The following is a 19885-nucleotide window of genomic DNA, read 5'->3' as shown; positions in this document are numbered from 1 at the left end:
AAGTTAGGAGAAAATTTCCTGATGTTTGCCATGCACCACGATGATTCAAAAGAGAGCAAAGGAAAATAATTTTTACTGAAACAAAACAGTATTTAGCATCCTATTAATTTAATAGCTTTGGTTTTGAATTTACAATGCTGATAACTGCATTTATTGAACATTCACTAAATCCAAGATACAACACTAAACAGTTCTCATGTTTCACAAGTTTTGTTTTCATTCAGTTTTTACAAGAATCCTATAAATCCTCATTAATCTCATTTTACAGATGAGACAAAAAGCAAGCTCTGAAAGTTTCAGCAAATTGCGCAAGCTCTGTCACATCTAGAAGGTGGGATTTTACCTAGGACAGAGTGACTCTACATCTTCACCACATTATATTGAAAAGGGAAAAGCCAGAAGCATTTGGCCCTATCATTTTTATCTCTAAAAAACTGCTGGTTCCTGCTCTGAAACAGTTCCTCCACGTGAAATAAATAAGCAGCTAGGTTTTCTTTTTATCAGCTTCAGCTCATTTGGTCCAGGTGTGAGGGTATTAAGGGATAAGTCTAAATACAATTTTTGTTTTCTTCCTGAACAGAAAATGGACAAAAATAAAGATGGGGTTGTTACCATAGATGAGTTCATTGAAAGCTGCCAAAAAGTAAGTAATGAAAGTGTAATAACTATCAATTCAGCTATCATAACAGCTAAACTGAGTATTAGCAGCTAGCTACCATGAACTGGGCGAAATATAGAGATCATATGCCTAAGTTTACCACTTCTACAACATGCAGCATAAGCCTACCACTCTGAAAACAAGCACCAATTACATAATCAACATTTAGAGTGCCCACTGAGTCAGGCTATGGAGGAAACCCTGGGGATACAAAAGTTGTACATGTACTGTGTTGATTCCCAAATTCCTTAGAGAGTATTCATGGAGGATAAAACATACATGAGATTTGAATTGCTCTTTGCCAAAACTTAGCATCACTCATATATTATCTATCATATCTCCACAGCATTAGAATTCCTAGATAGCCAAGTATGGCATCACAACAGGCCAAGCTTCTATCTGATTTCTAAGAGAAAAGTCATTGTTTTAGTGTATGTGGACAAGAAATGGCTCTTTGACTGAACTCACTAATGGTCTTCAGTCACAAAAAATAAACAGTGGAAAATTTTCTCTGAAGAGAACTCCAGGTAGTAGCCTGTTATCAAAGAAACCAGTGTTAGCTTACTTAGAATTATTTGACTTGATGTGTGGGCAGAACCACAGTTAAAAATTGTTAAGGCCTGGTACAGTAGCTCACAACTGTAATCCCAGCACTATGGGAGGCTGAGGCGGGAAGATAACTTAAGGCCAGGATTTTGAGTCCAATGTGGGCAACATAGCAAGACCCTATCTATCTCTACAAAAAAAAATTAAGTTAGCTGGGCACGGTGGCACGTGGCTGAAGTCTCAGCTACTTGGGAGGCTGAGGCAGGAAGATCACTTGATCCCTGTTGAGCCATGATTGTGCCACTGCACTCCAGAATGATGGGCAACAGAAATAGACTCTGCCTCAAAACTAAAAAAAGAAAAAAAGAATTTTTCAAATAATCCTGAAAACAAAGAAATCCGTTGTTTCTTTAGTTTTTCTCTTTATTTTTAAATTGTTGTTCTTACTTTTCTGGATGTCTGCTTGTCTCTCAACTTGGATTTCCATGCAGTGGTCTTTGAGAGAATTAATTTGGTGACATTAAGCTGCTTGACGGTGATGTTACTTGGTTTCTAGCAGTGGAAGCCATTATTGGTTCAGCCACCATTTACCACTACCATAAACAGCTCAGTAAGTGCTATTCACATGCAACTGACAAGTGCTCCAATAATGCCCAAAGTCTGTCCCCTAACTCATTTCTAAAGAATATGCTAAACTGAACACAGCCACTGAGCAGTGGTTTCTGCTCCCCAATTCTTTCTCTGTAATTGAGAGACCATTCATTTTTAAAGGCTCCTTCAGGCCATGCAGCTTTAGCCATAACTAGCAGACAGAAAGAGAGATGATTACTGCAAACATGTTACCTCTTAATCCACCACCCTGCCTCCTATGCGCCAGCCTCCAATCTTCATGAACTGCTGGCTCATACACACAAATTTTCCTTGTACCTGTATAAAAGTCTGTGTGATTTGGCCTGTGATCTACATAGAATGCCAAAATTCTCATTTGCTTTGACACACCTCTGCACCTCTGTAGTTTCCATTTTGGCATTATGATTTGAGAAATATCCTCTATTAATACCAAGTAAAGATTTAAATAAAGTGGTTTAATGCCTGGTCAATAGACTCCACAAAATATAAAATGGGTCCTTCATAGTCATCTATGTGGAAAATGGATAGAATAGAATGGCATTTACATTTGCAAACACTTAATATTTGAGCTTTTGGCATAGGTGGTTGAGGTGGTTGATGGGAGGAGGCAATACTCAGGGGCAAAATAGTGTACTTTTCCTTGCAGATATGCTGAATTTAATCGCTCTGTGTTTCTCCCTTACAGGATGAAAACATAATGCGCTCCATGCAGCTCTTTGAAAATGTGATTTAACTTGTCAAATAGATCCTGAATCCAACAGACAAATGTGAACTATTCTACCACCCTTAAAGTTGGAGCTACCACTTTTAGCATAGATTGCTCAGCTTGACACTGAAGCATATTATGCAAACAAGCTTTGTTTTAATATAAAGCAATCCCCAAAAGATTTGAGCTTTCAGTTATAAATTTGCATCCTTTTCATAATGCCACTGAGTTCAGGGGATGGTCTAACTCATTTCATACTCTGTGAATATTCAAAAGTAATAGAATCTGGCATATAGTTTTATTGGTTCCTTAGCCATGGGATTATTGAGGCTTTCACATATCAGTGATTTTAAAATATCAGTGTTTTTTGCTACTCATTTGTATGTATTCAGTCCTAGGATTTTGAATGGTTTTCTAATATAGTGACATCTGCATTTAATTTCCAGAAATTAAATTAATTTTCATGTTTGAATGCTGTAATTCCATTTAAATTCCATTTATATACTTTAAGGAAACAAGATTACAACAATTAAAAAAACACATAGTTCCAGTTTCTATGGCCTTCCCACCTTCTGTTAGAAATTAGTTTTATCTGGCATTTTTAAACATTTAAAAATTATTAAACATTTAAAAATTAGTTTATTATCAGATATCAGCATATGCCTAATAAAACTTATTTTAATAAGCATTTAATTTTCCATAATATGTTACAGCCAAGGCCTATATAATAATTTTGGATTTGTTCAATCTTTCTTACAGGCTGTTTTCTATTGTATCAATCATTAGTATCAATCATTAAGTGGAAGTTGAAGAAGGCATCAAACAAAACAAGGATGTTTACAGACATATGCAAAGGGTCAGGATATCTATCCTCCAGTATATAGTAATGCTTAATAACAAGTAATCCTAACAGCATTAAAGGCCAAATCTGTCCTCTTTCCCCTGACTTCCTTACAGCATGTTTATTTATATTACAAGCCATTCAGGGACAAAGAAAGAAACCTTGACTACCCCACTGTCTACTAAGAACAAACAGCAAGCAAAATTAGCAAGCAAAATTCACTTTGAAAGCACCAGTGGTTCCATTACATTGACAACTACTACCAAGATTTAGTAGAAAATAAGTGCTCAACAACTAATCCAGATTACAGTATGATTTAGCTCATCATAATTCAGATTATTTTTAATCATCTTAGCCAAAACTGTAAAGTTGCCACATTACTAAAGCCACACACATCGTCCCTGTTTTGTAGAAATATCACAAAGACCAAGAGGCTACAGAAGGAGGAAATTTGCAACTGTCTTTGCAACAATAAATCAGGTATCTATTCTGGTGTAGAGATAGGATGTTGAAAGCTGCCCTGCTATCACCAGTGTAGAAATTAAGAGTAGTACAATACATGTACACTGAAATTTGCCATCACGTGTTTGTGTAAACTCAATGTGCACATTTTGTATTTCAAAAAGAAAAAATAAAAGCAAAATAAAATGTTTATAACTCTACTGTCTATGTTACAGGTCTTTTCCAAGAAATTTTGTAATTAATTAAATCTTACAGTACTTTCTAGATGGCAGATAGCTCTGGATGGTGCTCAATGCAATGAAAACAGGTAAAAGCAAGGCCAGCAGGCAGGCAGCTGTTGTAGCCAGAGGGAATTGCTTCTATTACATCAAAATTCTGAACTATGTCTATATTATATTTTAAAAGCTTCTTAAAAATTGCTAAACATAAGCACAACAAAATCAATGAATGCATGTACAAGTTTTAACATTTTAATTGCTGAATATCTTTAAGTGAACATCAGTATTTTCTGGCTATGAAATGCAAAAATAACACATTTACTTAAATACAGTTAACACCTAAAATTTAGGTAGTTGTAATGAGTTGTAATAAACAACATACTTGTAATAGAATTTACAGAATTAGAAAAAATTTTTTAAACTAGAATACTCTGAAAATTTTCCAAGCATTGTACATTATAAAATACATATTTACAAATAATATTAGTAGTGTATTCATGGGGCCAGGCATGGTGGCTCACACCTGTAATCCCAGCACTTTGGAAGTCCACTGTGGGAGGATCACTCACCAGAATTCTGAGACCAGCCTGGACAACAGAGTGAGATCCCATCTCTACAAGCAAATTTCAAAATTAGCTGGGCATGGTGGCACACGCCTATAGTCCCAGCTAATCAGGAGGCTGAGATGAAAAGGATCATCTGAGCACAAAAATTTGAGGCTTGCGGTGAGCTATGATTATGCCACTGCACTCCAGTCTGGGCAACAAAGCAAGACCGCTTTTCTCTTTTAAAACAATTTTTTAAAAGTGTATTCACAAACATTTGTCCACTATTTTAAACTTCTATAGCCTTGTTAAACATTAAACCCAAGAAATGGCAAACTATCTATAAAAATAAGGGCACAGCTACAAACTGATTGCCAAAAAAGTGTTGTTATAAATAAAAAGACACTAGAAAATACAAATACATCTTATCTTGCAAACTCAATAATGGTTCTTCGCACAAATAATAAAAATACAAAAAATAAACCTCAAAATTGTACTCTTATAGAACTTATTTTAATAACTTTCCATTAGTAACTGTTCTTTTTTGTTGATGAATAACTTTGATTCAGTGTCTATTCATCTTAACCTAGTAAATAATGAATGGTGGCTGTGATTTACAAAAGAATAAAATAAATGAGTACCCACAGTTAGTGCTTGACACGTCAACAGGTAGAAAAAACAATTTTTGTTGGCTCCCTTCTTCAACAGCATATGGAGCAGTATGTTGGAATTTTAGATTTGATGATGCTAAGGCTCCCCTGTCAACAGAAAAAAATTGAGCATCATTAGTATCATGCAGAGTTCCCCTAATAGGTATTATATTTGCAGGAATATGCCTAGAAAGTATCTAAAACTCAAACAAAAAGGGGTAAGAACAAAATGATGAAATAAGAAGGACTTTTTGCTGAGTTAAATAAAATATAGGCTGTTTCTTTCTCTTTTTTTGAAGTATCTAACTAGAGAAGTAGTTAGAAGCCAGACTACCAGTATCTGAATTCAGCATCTACTAGTCACTTATTCGTCAAACCTGGACTAATTACTTTTCTGTGCCTAAGTTCCGTGATCTTTAGAGGGAGATAACAACAAAATCTCCCTCTGATGACTAGGAAGAGTAAATGGGTTTCATGTCTAAAAAGTACTCAGCAGAGTACCTGCCATGTAATAAGTTCCCACACAATCAATAAAGATCAGGATTTGCATTGTGCCTTTTCCAAAATAAATGTGCATTTCACTTAGAAAAAAAATCAAATCAGGCTAAGAATGAACTGATTTCAATTTAAGGCAGATCAGTTCTAAGAAAGTAACACTGTGACTATCTGTAACAGATATTTTCCTGTATCCAAAAGTTGAATAGTTCCATCATTGATATACACAAGTCCCAAGAAATGAGAAACCACAACTGAGAACACTCATTTTTAAAGACTTAATTTCTAATATTTTAAGAAAGAAAGAGATATATAAGCTTTTAAGGTCTTAGAAGAGAAAGAAGAACATTCATTAGTTTCATGAAGGATTACGAAGTAACAGAAATTAGCACAATAATAAGCCAAGAGAAAGTCTTTGGTATGTAATTGCAATAGGAAATTTTCTATTCCAATTACATCAATCATTATTAAAATATTATGTAGGATATAAGAAGGAGGAAACAAGAGGAGTCAGAAGAAAATAAATAATAACAGCCCTTGTAGCTACAAAATCTTTTTTAAAATTCTGTATTAGCAACATTCAAAGCTAGTAAGATGGAGTAGTAAAAAAAGAATTTGATATTTCTGGGATCCTGGATTACTCAACTACAGCTCTGTGTTCCCCTTCCAAATCTTAATGTGCCGTTTCTAAACTTTATTTACACATATACTATCTCCTCCTCCACACCCCCTCCACTCCCACCACAAAATCTAACATGCTTGGCCTGTCCCTTTCTACTTGTCCCATTTCCCATACCGGCCCACAGGATATGGAAAATCACCTAGGGAGCGTTTCCCACTGAAAAGCTGTGGCATCATTATTTAGCATTTGTTCACTTCCACTCCACAGAAGAAGAAAGGAGAAATATATTTTGCATTTAAATTCTCAGAAGAGCAAGCAAGAATTTCCTTGCTGCAGAGGAGACATGGGATTAGCTAGAGGAAAGTTCTGCACATCTCCTCAACAAGGTGTCTGAATGTTAATACTCTGCCTAGGACCCAAACACAACAAAGAAATTCATTATCTAGTAGGCTTAGACACTTACTTCCTCTTGTCAACTGTATTCTAGGCATCCATCATGGAAAGAATATAATCAATCAAACAACTCATTGAGATTGGTCAAATGAGGTATTTCGCTAAAGCTTTATGTCTGCCATTTTAAAATTGTATATGATCAGGTAAATTTTCTCATAACTAATTCCTTTAGAAGTACCTACAATGGAACTAAGTTATACAATGTTAAGATGGTCACATGCAATTCTATCATTAAGATCTGATTAAACAAAATTTCCAAAAGCAAGGACTGCTTTTATGGAAATATTTCTAAGACGAGATTATCTGAATGCTTCTTTCAAATGCTAAAAATTCAATTAGTCTAGTAATCTGACACCATACAGTTATGAAATCCTCCATATTTTTGTACCTTGAAAAGTTAGAATAACCAATTAAACTATTCCAGCACTGTGTGTGCATATGTGTCCGTGTGTGTGTGTGTGTGTGTGTGTACACCTATGGGGGTATGCACGCACTTACAGACAGAATAGTGTAATCATCTGGACGTCTGAGTCAGAAAAGGCAGCAAATGAAAGAGAAAAAGGTATTTTTCCTCAAAGAGCTAAGTTAATCGTTCGGTTTTCTGAACTTTTCGATGGTCAAAACTAAACCACTGAAAATACTTTTAAGAAAAAAACTGTACCACTGCGCCACACTGAGTGCCACATTAAGCACTGTGAAAGTGTACACAAGCCCTATATTTATTCAACCTGAGTCTGGTCTGAGTCGCAGGGCTTGAGAACAGTGTGACCTAGAGACAGAAACTCTTGAGTTCTAAAAGGAAAATAACAGCATCAATTTCACATAGTTACCTGTGGCTGAAATGAGATAGTATATGTTAAATATATATATATGTCAATTTAGTAATACACCTAAAAGTTAAAAAAAAAGACTTAAGGAATAATATTCTACTTACACTTCCACCATGTTGCTCTAGCTTTTGTAATGCGCTGGTGATTGGCTCTTTGAATTTCTTGTCCATTAATCTCTTGGAAAGCTTTTAAAGTAAGATTAGGGGGAAACGAAATGACTTTAAACTTAACAATGCTCACCATACGCATAAGTAAATCTTCAGGAGCACCCCTTGTTTTAGATTTCAAGGCTTTTTTTAGGAAGCATCTCATTGAAATTTACATGTATAAGGTACCTCTGTATTTGTTTTAAAAAACAATGAATTTACATTATTTCAGGTAAAACCAATCCTATAAAATCTGCTTCAGTATGCTATCTGAAGTAAGGTTTCTATAAAATAGCATATTTTGTGATTCTGTAATTTGCAAGAGCATTGAGGACCATGATGGAAAGCTGTGCCTCTAAAACACACATTTTCCTGCAATAAAAAGGGAAGAGAAGACAAAGGATGGAGGATTTACATGAGTAATTTATAAGAGTGAATGCCCTGGGGATGGACAGGGTCCCTCTCTAGTCTTCCAGTTGCTTTCTTCAGACTGCATTACCCTACTGAATCTGTATACACTCTGTATAGCACAGAGGTTTACATGCAGATCCATGGGCCATCAGCCTCAGAATCACTTGAGATGCTGTTTAAAAATGCAGATTCTTGGGTCTCACGCCATACTTAACCAGAATCCCAGAGCAGAAGCCCAGAATCTACATTTTTAAGCAAGATTTTCAGGTGATTTATTCCCTCTTTAAAGTCCCATACATTTGCAGCTCAGAAAAGGTATAGCTTATTTTGCATAGAGGAAAAAATGAGTTGTATACAGGGGTTCAGTAACTGGTTTTGAAAAACTTTTTCTAGAAGAATAATACCCTTTCTTCCAATAAACTTCTAATGTAGAAGTCTATAAACCCCATAAAAATGAAGGCTTTGAGGCTGAAATGTATGGAAGATGGGGGTGAGGGACGAAGGGGATCCGATAGCACCTCATTGACATCCTCAGTGGTGTCTGTCTCATAGTTAGTGGTAATAGACCAGGAACTAACCCTCACACAACCTATTTCTAGAACTCTTTATATAACACCAGGATCTGATGGTCAGGGTGGTGTCTAGGTCTTCCCAAAGTGCTGGCAGCCCAGGAAAGCTAGATACCCGTTCAGTCAGTCCTTGTCTAGGAAAAGCAGAGCTCTGAGGAGGAATGCAAGTGACCAAAGATAAACGCCACTGACCCAGAAAGATTAGAAAACAAAACAAATGTATACAACTGTTAATCTGGTCTTTTCTTTCTGCCATCGGAGGTGGGACTTAGAGGCTATTTAGGAAGCCTTGCTTGACTGACTTTGAGGAAGGATCCAGTGTGATTCCTTTTCTCTACATATCACATCCCTTTGACTCCATCCCAATTTTCTCAGCAGATGTCCTTGCTGCTTATTTCTACATCCCCCACCCACCTGCAAAAACAAAAACAAAAAAACAAAAAAAACCCAAAACCAAAACCAATAATCTCCACAAGGACTGAGAGCATGCCTGTTTCTGCTCAGATTATATTCTCACTGCTTGGCATACCTGGCACAAAACAGGAGGGCAGAGTGCAAGAGATTATTATTAAACGACTGAATATTTGAATGAGTCACTTTGTATACTAGTGTGAAATTCCTGTAGTTGGTCAGCCACACCCCCTGACATGAAGCTTACAAATATCTGCCAAGATTCTCTTTCTTCTGTCATAAGACTCCTCATATGTCAAGGCTTGAAAGTCTATTCTCACTATGTCTTCTCCTCACCTGAAACCTCACGGAATTTCATCTACCACCTATGAGCATACCTATCCTGATAGAGTCACCATCGCACCTACTTCTTATACCATTAACCAGGTAGTTCCTAGGGTGTATTGGAACAGGTAGTTCCTAGTTGTGGAATAGGAAGTTAAAAATACAGTTCTAGGATCTCTCATATGGATGTATCCAAGAAAAAACAGTGGAACCATTATCAAAATCATACCTCAGCTGTGAAATACAGAAGAATGCAGACAGGGAGGTCCTATCTAACTCTTTAATTTTTCTATCAGTATGCGGTATAGAACTTCCCTTGCCTAAAGTTTGGCCCTTGCCCCTAGCTCTTGAATGATAACCTCTAAGCTCTTGGAATGTCCTCCTGGATAGGGTATCCTTGTCAACATGGGAGTTTCGGGTGACACCAGGTAGTCTATACAATGTGATTTATGATGGGAACTTTGGTTCACAGGGTATTAGCTCGATTTCTAGAGAGGGTGTAGACTAAAGTCAACCACACAGGCAGGCAGTCTTGCCTGCATGACAGACACCAATAAAAACCCTGGACACTAAGGCTCACATGAGCTTCTCTAGTTGGCAATACTCCATGCACGTTGCCACACATTGTTGCTGGAAGAAGTAAACACTGCATGAAGAAGGGGGCGGTTCCAAGATGGCCGAATAGGAAGAGCTCCAGTCTACAGCTCCCAGCGTGAGTGACGCAAAACACAGGTGATTTCTGCATTTCCAACTGAGGTACCGGGTTCATCTCACTGGGGCTTGTTGGACAGTGGGTGCAGGACAGCGGGTATAGCGCACCAAGTGTGAGCCGAAGCAGGGCGAGGCATCGCCTCACCCGGGAAGCGCAAGGGATCAGGGAATTCCCTTTCCTAGCCAAGCAAAGCTGTGACAGATGGCACCTGGAATATCGAGTCACTCCCAACTTAATACTGCACTTTTCCAATGGTCTTAGCAAACAGCACACCAGGAGATTATATCCTGTGCCTGGCTCAGAGAGTCCCATGCCCATGGAGCCTCGCTCATTGCTAGCACAGCAGTCTGGGATAGAACTGCAAGGCGGCAGCAAGGCTGGGAGAGGGGCGCCCGCCATTGCTGAGGTTTCAGCAGGTAAACAAAGCAGCTGGGAAGCTCAAACTGGGTGGAGCCCACCACAGCTCAAGGAGGCCTGCCTGCCTCTGTAGACTCCACCTCTGGGGGCAGGGCATAGCCAAACAAAAGGCAGCAGAAACCTCTGCAGACTTAAATGTCCCTGTCTGACAGCTTTGAAGAGAGTAGTGGTTCTCCCAGCACGGAGTTTGAGATCTGAGAACGGACAGACTGCCTCCTCAAGTGGGTCCCTGACCCGTGAGTAGCCTAACTGAGAGGCACCCCCCAGTAGGGGCAGACTGACACCTCACACGGCCGAGTACCCCTCTGAGACGAAACTTCCAGAGGAACGATCAGGCAGCAACATTTGCTGTTCAGCAATATTCGCTGTTCTGCAGCCTCCACTGCTGATACCCAGGCAAACAGGGTCTGGAGTGGACCTCCAGCAAACTCCAACAGACCTGCAGCTGAGCGTCCCAACTGTTAGAAGGAAAACTAACAAACAGAAAGGACATCCACACCAAAACCCCACTTGTACGTCACCATCATCAAAGACCAAAGGTACATAAAACCACAAAGATGGGGAAAAAACAGAGCAGAAAACCTGAAAATTCTAAAAATCAAAGCGCCTCTCCCCCTCCAAAGGAACACAACTCCTCACCAGAAACGGAACTAAGCTGGACGGAGAATGACTTTGACGAGGTGACAAAAGAAGGCTTCAGACGATCAAACTTTTGCGAGCAAAAGGAGGAAGTTTGAACCCATTGCAAAGAAGCTAAAAACATTGAAAAAAGATTAGATGAATGGCTAACTAGAATAACCAGTGTAGAGAGGACCTTAAATGACCTGATGGAGCTGAACACCATGGCACGAGAACTACATGACGAATGCACAAGCTTCAGTAGCCGACTCAATCGAGTGGAAGAAAGGGTATCAGTGATTGAAGATCAAATGAATGAAATGAAGCGAGAAGTGAAGTTTAGAGAAAAAAGAGTAAAAAGAAAGGAACAAAGCCTCCAAGAAATATGGAACTATGTGAAAAGACCAAATCTACGTCTGATTGGTGTACCTGAAAGTGACAGGGAGAATGGAACCAAGTTGGAAAACACGCTGCAGGATATTATCCAGGAGAACTTTCCCAACTTAGCAAGGCAGGCCAACATTGAAATTCAGGAAATACAGAGAATGCCACCAAGATACTTCTTGAGAAGAGCAACTCCAAGACACATAATTGTCAGATTCACCAAGGTTGAAATGAAGGAAAAAATATTAAGGGCAGCCAGAAGGAAAGGCTGGGTTACCCACAAAGGGAAGCCCATCAGACTAACAGCAGAACTCGTGGCAGACACTCTACAAGCCAGAAGAGAGTGGGGCCAATATTCAACATCCTTAAAGAAAAGAATTTTCAACCCAAAATTTCATATCCAGCCAAACTAAGCTTCATAAGCGAAGGACAAATAAAATCCTTTACAGACAAGCAAATGCTGATTTTGTTACCACAAGGCCTGCCTTACAAGAGCTCCTGAAGGAAACACTAAACATGGAAAGGAACAACCTGTACCAGCCACTGCAAAAACAAGCCAAATTGTAAAGACCATCGAGGCTAGGAAGAAACTGCATCAACTAATGAGCAAAATAATCAGCTAACATCATAATGACAGGATCAGATTCACACAAAACAATACTAACCTTAAATATAAATGGGCTAAATGCTCCAATTAAAAGACACAGACTGGCAGATTGGATAAAGAGTCGAGACCCATCAGTGTGCTGTATTCAGGAGACCCATCTCATGTGCAGAGACACACATAGGCTCAAAATAAAAGGATGGAGGAAGATCTACCAAGCAAATGGAAAACAAAAAAAAGGCAGAAGTTGCAATCCTAGTCTCTGATAAAAGACTTTAAACCAACAAAGATCAAAAGAGACAAAGAAGGCCATTACATAATGGTAAAGGGATCAATTCAACAAGAAGGGCTAACTATCCTAAATATATATGCACCCAATACAGGAGCACCCAGATTCATAAAGCAAGTCCTGAGTGACCTACAAAGAGATTTCGACTCCCACACAATAATAATGGGAGACTTTAACACCCCACTGTCAACATTAGACAGATCAACGAGACAGAAAGTTAACAAGGATACCCAGGAATTGAACTCACCTCTGCACCAAGCAGACCTAATAGACATCTACAGAACTCTCCACCCCAAATCAACAGAATATACATTCTTCTCAGCACCACATCACACTTATTCCAAAATTGACCACATAGTTGGAAGTAAAGCACTCCTCAGCAAATGTAAAAGAACAGAAATTATAACAAACTGTCTCTCAGACCACAGTGCAATCAAACTAGAACTCAGGATTAAGAAACTCACTCAAAACCGCTCAACTACATGGAAACTGAACAACCTGCTCCGGAATGACTGCTGGATACATAATGAAATGAAGGCAGAAATAAAGATGTTCTTTGAAACCAATGAGAACAAAGACACAATGTACCAGAATCTCTGGGACATATTTAAAGCAGTGTGTAGAGGGAAATTTATAGCACTAAAAGCCCACAAGAGAAAAGCAGGAAAGATCTAAAACTGATACCCTAACATCACAATTAAAAGAACTAGAGAAGCAAGAGCAAACACATTCAAAAGCTAGCAGAAGTCAAGAAATAACTAAGATCAGAGCAGAATTGAAGGAGATAGAGACACAAAACACCCTTCAAAAAATCAATGACTCCAGGAGCTGGTTTTTTTGAAAAGATCAACAAAATTGATAGACTGCTAGCAAGACTAATAAAGTAAAGAGAGAAGAATCAAATAGACGCAATAAAAAATGATACAAGGGATATCACCACCAATCCCACAGAAATACAAACTACCATCAGAGAATACTATAAACACCTCTATGCAAATAAACTAGAAAATCTTGCAGAAATGGATGAATTCCTGGACACATACACCCTCCCAAGACTAAACCAGGAAGAAGGTGAATCTCTGAATAGACCAATAACAGGCTCGGAAATTGAGGCAATAGTTAATAGCTTACCAACCAAAAAAAGTCCAGGACCAGATGGATTCACAGCTGAATTCCACCAGAGGTACAAGGAGGAGCTTGTACCATTCTTCTGAAACTATTCCAATCAATAGAAAAAGAGGGAATCCTCCCTAACTCATTTTATGAGGCCAGCATCATGCTGATACCAAAACCTGGCAGAGACACAACAAAAAAAAGAATTTAAGACCAATATCCCTGATGAACATCAATGCAAAAATCCTCAATAAATTACTGGCAAACCGAATCCAGCAGCACATCAAAAAGCTTATCCACCATGACCAAGTGAATAAGCTTCATCCCTGGGATGCAAGGCTGGTTCAACATATGCAAATTAATAAATGTAATCCAGCATATAAACAGAACCAAAGACAAAAACCACGATTATCTCGATAGATGCAGAAAAGGACTTTGTCAAAATCAGCAACCCTTCATGCTAAAAACTCTCAATAGATTAGGTATTGATGGGACGTATCTCAAAATAATAAGAGCTATTTATGACACACCCACAACCAATATCATACTGAATGGGTAGAAACTGGAAGCATTCCCTTTGAAAACTGGCACAAGACAGGGATGCCCTCTCTCACCACTCCTATTCAACATAGTGTTGGAAGTTCTGGCCAGGGCAATCAGGCAGGAGAAAGAAATAAAGGGTATTCAATTACGAAAAGAGGAAGTCAAATTGTCCCCGTTTGCAGATGACATGATTGTATATCTAGAAAACCCCATCGTCTCAGCCCAAAATCTCCTTAAGCTGATAAGCAACTCAGCAAAGTCTCAGGATACAAAATCAATGTGCAAAAATCACAAGCATTCTTATACACCAATAACAGACAGAGAGCCAAATCATGAGTGAACTCCCATTCACAACTGCCTCAAAGAGAATAAAATACCTAGGAATCCAACTTACAAGGGATGTGAAGGACCTCTTCAAGGAGAACTACAAACCACTGCTCAACAAAATAAAAGAGGACACAAACAAATGGAAGAAGATTCCATACTCATGGATAGGAAGAATCAATATGGTGAAAATGGCCATACTGCCCAAGGTAATTTACAGAATCAATGCCATCCCCATCGAGCTACCAATGACTTTCTTCACAGAATTGGAAAAGAACTACTTTAAAGTTCATATGGAAACAAAAAAGAGCCCACATTGCCAAGACAATCCTAAGCCAAAAGAACAAAGCTGGAGGCATCACACTACCTGACTTCAAACTATACTACAAGGCTACAGTAACCAGAACAGCATGGTACTGGTACCTAAACAGAGATATTGACCAATGGAACAGAACAGAGGCCTCAGAAATAATACCACACATCTACAACCATCTGATCTTTGACAAACCTGACAGAAACAAGCAATGGGGAAAGGATTCCCTATTTAATAAATGGTGCTGGGAAAACTGGCTAGCCATATGGAGAAAGCTGAAACTGGATCCCTTCCTTACACTTTATACAAAAATTAATTCAAGATGGATTAAAGACTTAAATGTTAGACCTAAAACCATAAAAACCCTAAAAGAAAACCTAGGCAATACCATTCAGGACATAGGCATGGGCAAGGACTTCATGTCTAAAACACAAAAAGCAATGGCAACAAAAGCCAAAATTGACAACTGGTGTCTAATTAAACTAAAGAGCTTCTGCACAGCAAAAGAAACTACCATCAGAGTGAACAGGCAACCTACAGAATGGGAAAAAATTTTTGCAATCTACTCATCTGACAAAGGGCTAATATCCAGAATCCACAAAGAACTCAAACAAATTTACAAGAAAAAAACAAACAACCCCATCAAAAAGTGGGTGAAGGATACGAACAGACACTTCTCAAAAGAAGACATTTATGCAGCCAACAGACACATGAAAAAATGCTCATCATCACTGGCCATTAAGAAATGCAAATCAAAACCACAATGAGATACCATCTCACACCAGTTAGAATGGCAATCATTAAAAAGTCAGGAAACAACAGGTGCTGGAGAGGATGTGGAGGAATAGGAACACTTTTACACTGTTGGTGGGACTGTAAACCAGTTCAACCATTGTGTAAGACAGTGTGGCGATTCCTCAAGGATCTAGAACTAGAAATACCATTTGACCCAGCCATCCCATTACTGGGTATATACCCAAAGGATTATAAAACATGTTGCTATAAAGACACATGCACATGTATGTTTATTGCGGCACTATTCACAATAGCAAAGACTTGGAACCAACCCAAATGTCCATCAATGATAGACTGGATTAAGAAAATGTGGCACATATACACCATGGAATACTATGCAGCCATAAAAAAGGATGAGTTCATGTCCTTTGTAGGGACACGGATGAAGCTGGAAACCATTATTCTCAGCAAACTAGCTCAAGGACAGAAAACCAAACACGGCATGTTCTCACTCATAGGTGGGAATTGAACAATGAGAATACTTGGACACAGGAAGGGGAACATCACACACCAGGGCCTGTCGGGGGAGGGATACCATTAGGAGATATACCTAATGTAAATGATGAGTTACTGGGTTCAACACACCAACATGGCACACGTATACATACGTAACAAACCTGCACGTTGTGCACATGTACCCTAGAACTTAAAGTATAATTAAAACAAACAAACAAACAAAAAAAAAACACTGCATGAATAACTTCACTAGGAGAAGAAAACTGAAAACTCCATGACTGGTCTCTCATGGACCCTGCCCTATGTGCCTCTTACCTTTGCTGATTTTAATCTTTATTTTTTGTGTGTTGTAAGAAACCATAACAGCCAGTAACAGCTTTCCTGAGTTCCATGGATCCTTCTGGCAAATCATCAAACCTAAGAGTGGTCTTGGGAACCTCATGAGCTGCACAGGGTCCTAGTAAATATTTATATTAAAGATTAAAGTTATACATATCAGGAAAAGGTCTCTTCCTGAATGCAATTTACAGATTCACTAAAACATCGCAATGAAAAACAAAAATACTTAAACATGTTTGGTAACATATAATTACACAAGACAGTGTATGGGCACTGCTTACATTCATAGTTAATCAACATGAGCATAATACCATCTTACCATTCATTAGCTTTTATCCATTCGACTTTTGGTTTTTTTTTGAAGTGCAGACTCGCTCTGTTACCCAGGCTGGCATGCACTGTCACAATCTTGTCCCACTACAACCTCCACCTCCAAGGTTCAAGCAATTCTCCTGTCTCAGCCTCCTGAAGCTGGGACTACAGGTGTATGCCACCACACTTGGCTAGTATTTTGTATTTTAGTAGAGATGGGGTTTCACCATGTTGCCCAGGCTGGTCTCAAACTCCTGAGCTCAGGCAATCCACCCACCTCAGCCTCCAAAGTGTTAGGATTACAGGTGTGAGCCACTACGCCCGGGTGGTTTACTTTTTATTATAACCCTGAACTCTGCTCATGTAGGTGCTTTCCATTTAAAAAAAATAGTAATACTGTCCATTAGTAAAATGTTTTATGAACGATCTGTATATTTTTTGCTAAGGATGATGAGATTTTTAAGGTTTTTTTTATTTTATTTTATTATTATTATACTTTAAGTTTTAGGGTACATGTGCACAATGTGCAGGTTAGTTACATATGTATACATGTGCCATGCTGGTGTGCTGCACCCATTAACTCGTCATTTAGCATTAGGTATATCTCCTAATGCTATCCCTCCCCACTACTCCCACCCCACAACAGTCCCCAGAGAGTGATGTTACCCTTCCTGTGTCCATGTGTTCTCATTGTTCAATTCCCACCTATGAGTGAGAACATGCGGTGTTTGGTTTTTTGTCCTTGTGACAGTTTACTGAGAATGATGATTTCCAGTTTCATCCATGTCCCTACAAAGGAATGAACTCATCATTTTTTATGGCTACATAGTATTCCATGGTGTGTATGTACCACATTTTCTTAATCCAGTCTACCATTGTTGGACATTTGGGTTGGTTCCAAGTCTTTGCTATTTTGAGTAGTGCCACGATAAACATACGTGTGCATGTGTCTTTATAGCAGCATGATTTATAGTCCTTTGGGTATATACCCAGTAATGGGATGGCTGGGTCAAATGGTATTTCTAGTTCTAGATCCCTGAGGAATCGCCACACTGACTTCCACAATGGTTGAACTACTTTACAGTTCCACCAACAGTGTAAAAGTGTTCCTATTTCTCCACATCCTCTCCAACACCTGTTGTTTCCTGACTTTTTAATGACTGCCATTCTAATTGGTCTGAGATGGTATCTCATTGTGGTTTTGATTTGCATTTCCACCAGGCCTGCCCTAAAAGAGCTCCTGAAGGAAGCACTAAACATGGAAAGGAACAACCTGTACCAGCCACTGCAAAATCATGCCAAATTGTAAAGACCACTGAGGCTAGGAAGAAACTGCATCAACTAACGAGCAAAATAACCAGCTAATATCATAATGACGGGATCAAATTCACACATCATAATATTAACTTTAAATGTAAATGGACTAAAATGCTCCAATTAAAAGACACAGACTGGCATATTGGATAAAGAGTCAAGACCCATCAGTGTGCTGTATTCAGGAAATCCATCTCACATGAAGAGACACACATAGGCTCAAAATAAAAGGATGGAGGAAGATCTACCAAGCAAATGGAAAACAAAAAAAGGCAGGGGTTGCAGTTCTAGTCTTGGATAAAACAGACTTTAAACCAACAAAGATCAAAAGAGACAAAGAAGGCCATTACATAATGGTAGAGGGATCAATTCAACAAGAAGAGCTAACTATCCTAAATATATATGCACCCAATACAGGAGCACCCAGATTCATAAAGCAAGTCCTGAGTGACCTACAAAGAGATTTCGACTCCCACACAATAATAATGGGAGACTTTAACACCCCACTGTCAACATTAGACAGATCAACGAGACAGAAAGTTAACAAGGATACCCAGGAATTGAACTCACCTCTGCACCAAGCAGACCTAATAGACATCTACAGAACTCTCCACCCCAAATCAACAGAATATACATTTTTTTCAGCACCACACCACACCTATCCCAAAATTGACCACATAGTTGGAAGTAAAGCTCTCCTCAGCAAATGTAAAAGAACAGAAATCATAACAAACTTGTCTCTCAGACCACAGTGCAATCAAACTAGAACTCAGGATTAAGAAACTCACTCAAAACCGCTCAGCTACATGGAAACTGAACAACCTGTTCCTGAATGACTACTGGGTACATAATGAAATGAAGGCAGAAATAAAGATGTTCTTTGAAACCAACGAGAACAAAGACACAACATACCAGAATCTCTGGGACACATTCAAAGCAGTGTGTAGAGGGAGATTTTTAAGGTTTTGAGTTGAAGATTTGAAATTGTTAAATCATGAAGAGATATGGATGGTGCATGATACATACAGTCAATCATTATCTAATCTTTGCAGTACTTACGCTTGTAAGCAGATGCTTCAGATGGTCGTTTAGAGAAGGACCAACAACGACACTTAGCTGAACTAGAGCATTCAATCCTCTTTCAAACACTTCATCATCCGAATGGACCTGTAAGGTTGGTTAGTTGGGGGATGTATGGACATCAGGGAAGAGAGGAGAAAAGGAAAGAAAAGATAGGTTAGAAAAAAGGGCAAGCAAGTAGAGAAAAGGATAAGATTAAACATCTACAATCAGAAGATAGTCAACAAAACCTAGAATTTTAAAAATAACCTTCAACACAGGACATCTAGAAGCAAAAAACAAATTTTCCATCTGACTGAAGCATTAACTAAAATATATGTAGCATACAGAAAGGCTGATTTGAGGTTCATTACTTCCTCTAATTACTTAAAATGTCCCTTTTTACCTTTAGTACATCCTCTAAAGATGTCTTCAAGTATGTAGTTATCTGGCCCTGAGTAACAGTTGCCTAATTCTGTAAATGTGTCAGAATCACAGATAAAGGACTACTTTGCATATAATATGGAGGGAAAAAGGCATACAATATTCTAAATATATTACAGCTTTCTTTTCTATCATGTTTTCAAATATAAAGTACAATGAAATAAATGACATACCAGAGCTGCCTTTAGCACAGGAATCAGTCTAGGTAGCAAAGGAATAGCTTTTTCAGGAGCACCTTTGACCAAAAGTAATTCTCTAAAACCCTCCTTTGACACAAAAGTGTATGGATGCTTAGTCTCTCTCAGACCCTGACAAAGACCAAGAGGAAACAT

The 19885-nt window shown here is 38.5% G+C and overlaps 2 protein-coding genes across 51 annotated transcripts in view; one reads left to right on the top strand and one right to left on the bottom strand.

Moving 5' to 3' along the window:
- KCNIP4 (potassium voltage-gated channel interacting protein 4) overlaps positions 1–4043 on the top strand; it is a 1220167-nt gene extending 1216124 nt beyond the window's left edge. For 6 of the 8 annotated variants that reach the window (NM_147181.4, NM_025221.6, NM_147182.4 and 3 more), the window contains 2 exons: positions 581–643; positions 2520–4043. In NM_147181.4, the coding sequence (NP_671710.1) occupies positions 581–643; positions 2520–2567 (111 nt within the window). In that variant the 3' untranslated portion in view covers positions 2568–4043. Of the gene's footprint in view, positions 1–580 lie in introns of all 8 variants that reach the window. The other 2 variants (NM_147183.3, XM_011513885.4) reach the window with 2 other exon arrangements.
- Positions 1–19885, bottom strand: part of PACRGL (parkin coregulated like) — a 71092-nt gene that overhangs the window by 34725 nt on the left and 16482 nt on the right. For 13 of the 43 annotated variants that reach the window (XM_047449620.1, XM_047449628.1, XM_047449626.1 and 10 more), the window contains 3 exons: positions 19727–19861; positions 19110–19217; positions 92–5364 (listed from right to left, as the gene is read on the bottom strand). In XM_047449620.1, the coding sequence (XP_047305576.1) occupies positions 5308–5364; positions 19110–19217; positions 19727–19861 (300 nt within the window). In that variant the 3' untranslated portion in view covers positions 92–5307. Of the gene's footprint in view, positions 1–91; positions 5365–7760; positions 7842–16400; positions 16543–19109; positions 19218–19726; positions 19862–19885 lie in introns of those variants that run through there. The other 30 variants (NR_047661.3, XM_047449617.1, XM_011513786.4 and 27 more) reach the window with 8 other exon arrangements.

Source organism: Homo sapiens, chromosome 4, assembly GCF_000001405.40.
Source record: "Homo sapiens chromosome 4, GRCh38.p14 Primary Assembly".
Lineage (NCBI taxonomy): Eukaryota > Metazoa > Chordata > Mammalia > Primates > Hominidae > Homo > Homo sapiens.
The sequence above is the reverse complement of the archived record's forward strand: the minus strand, read 5'-3'. Positions and strand labels throughout refer to the sequence as shown.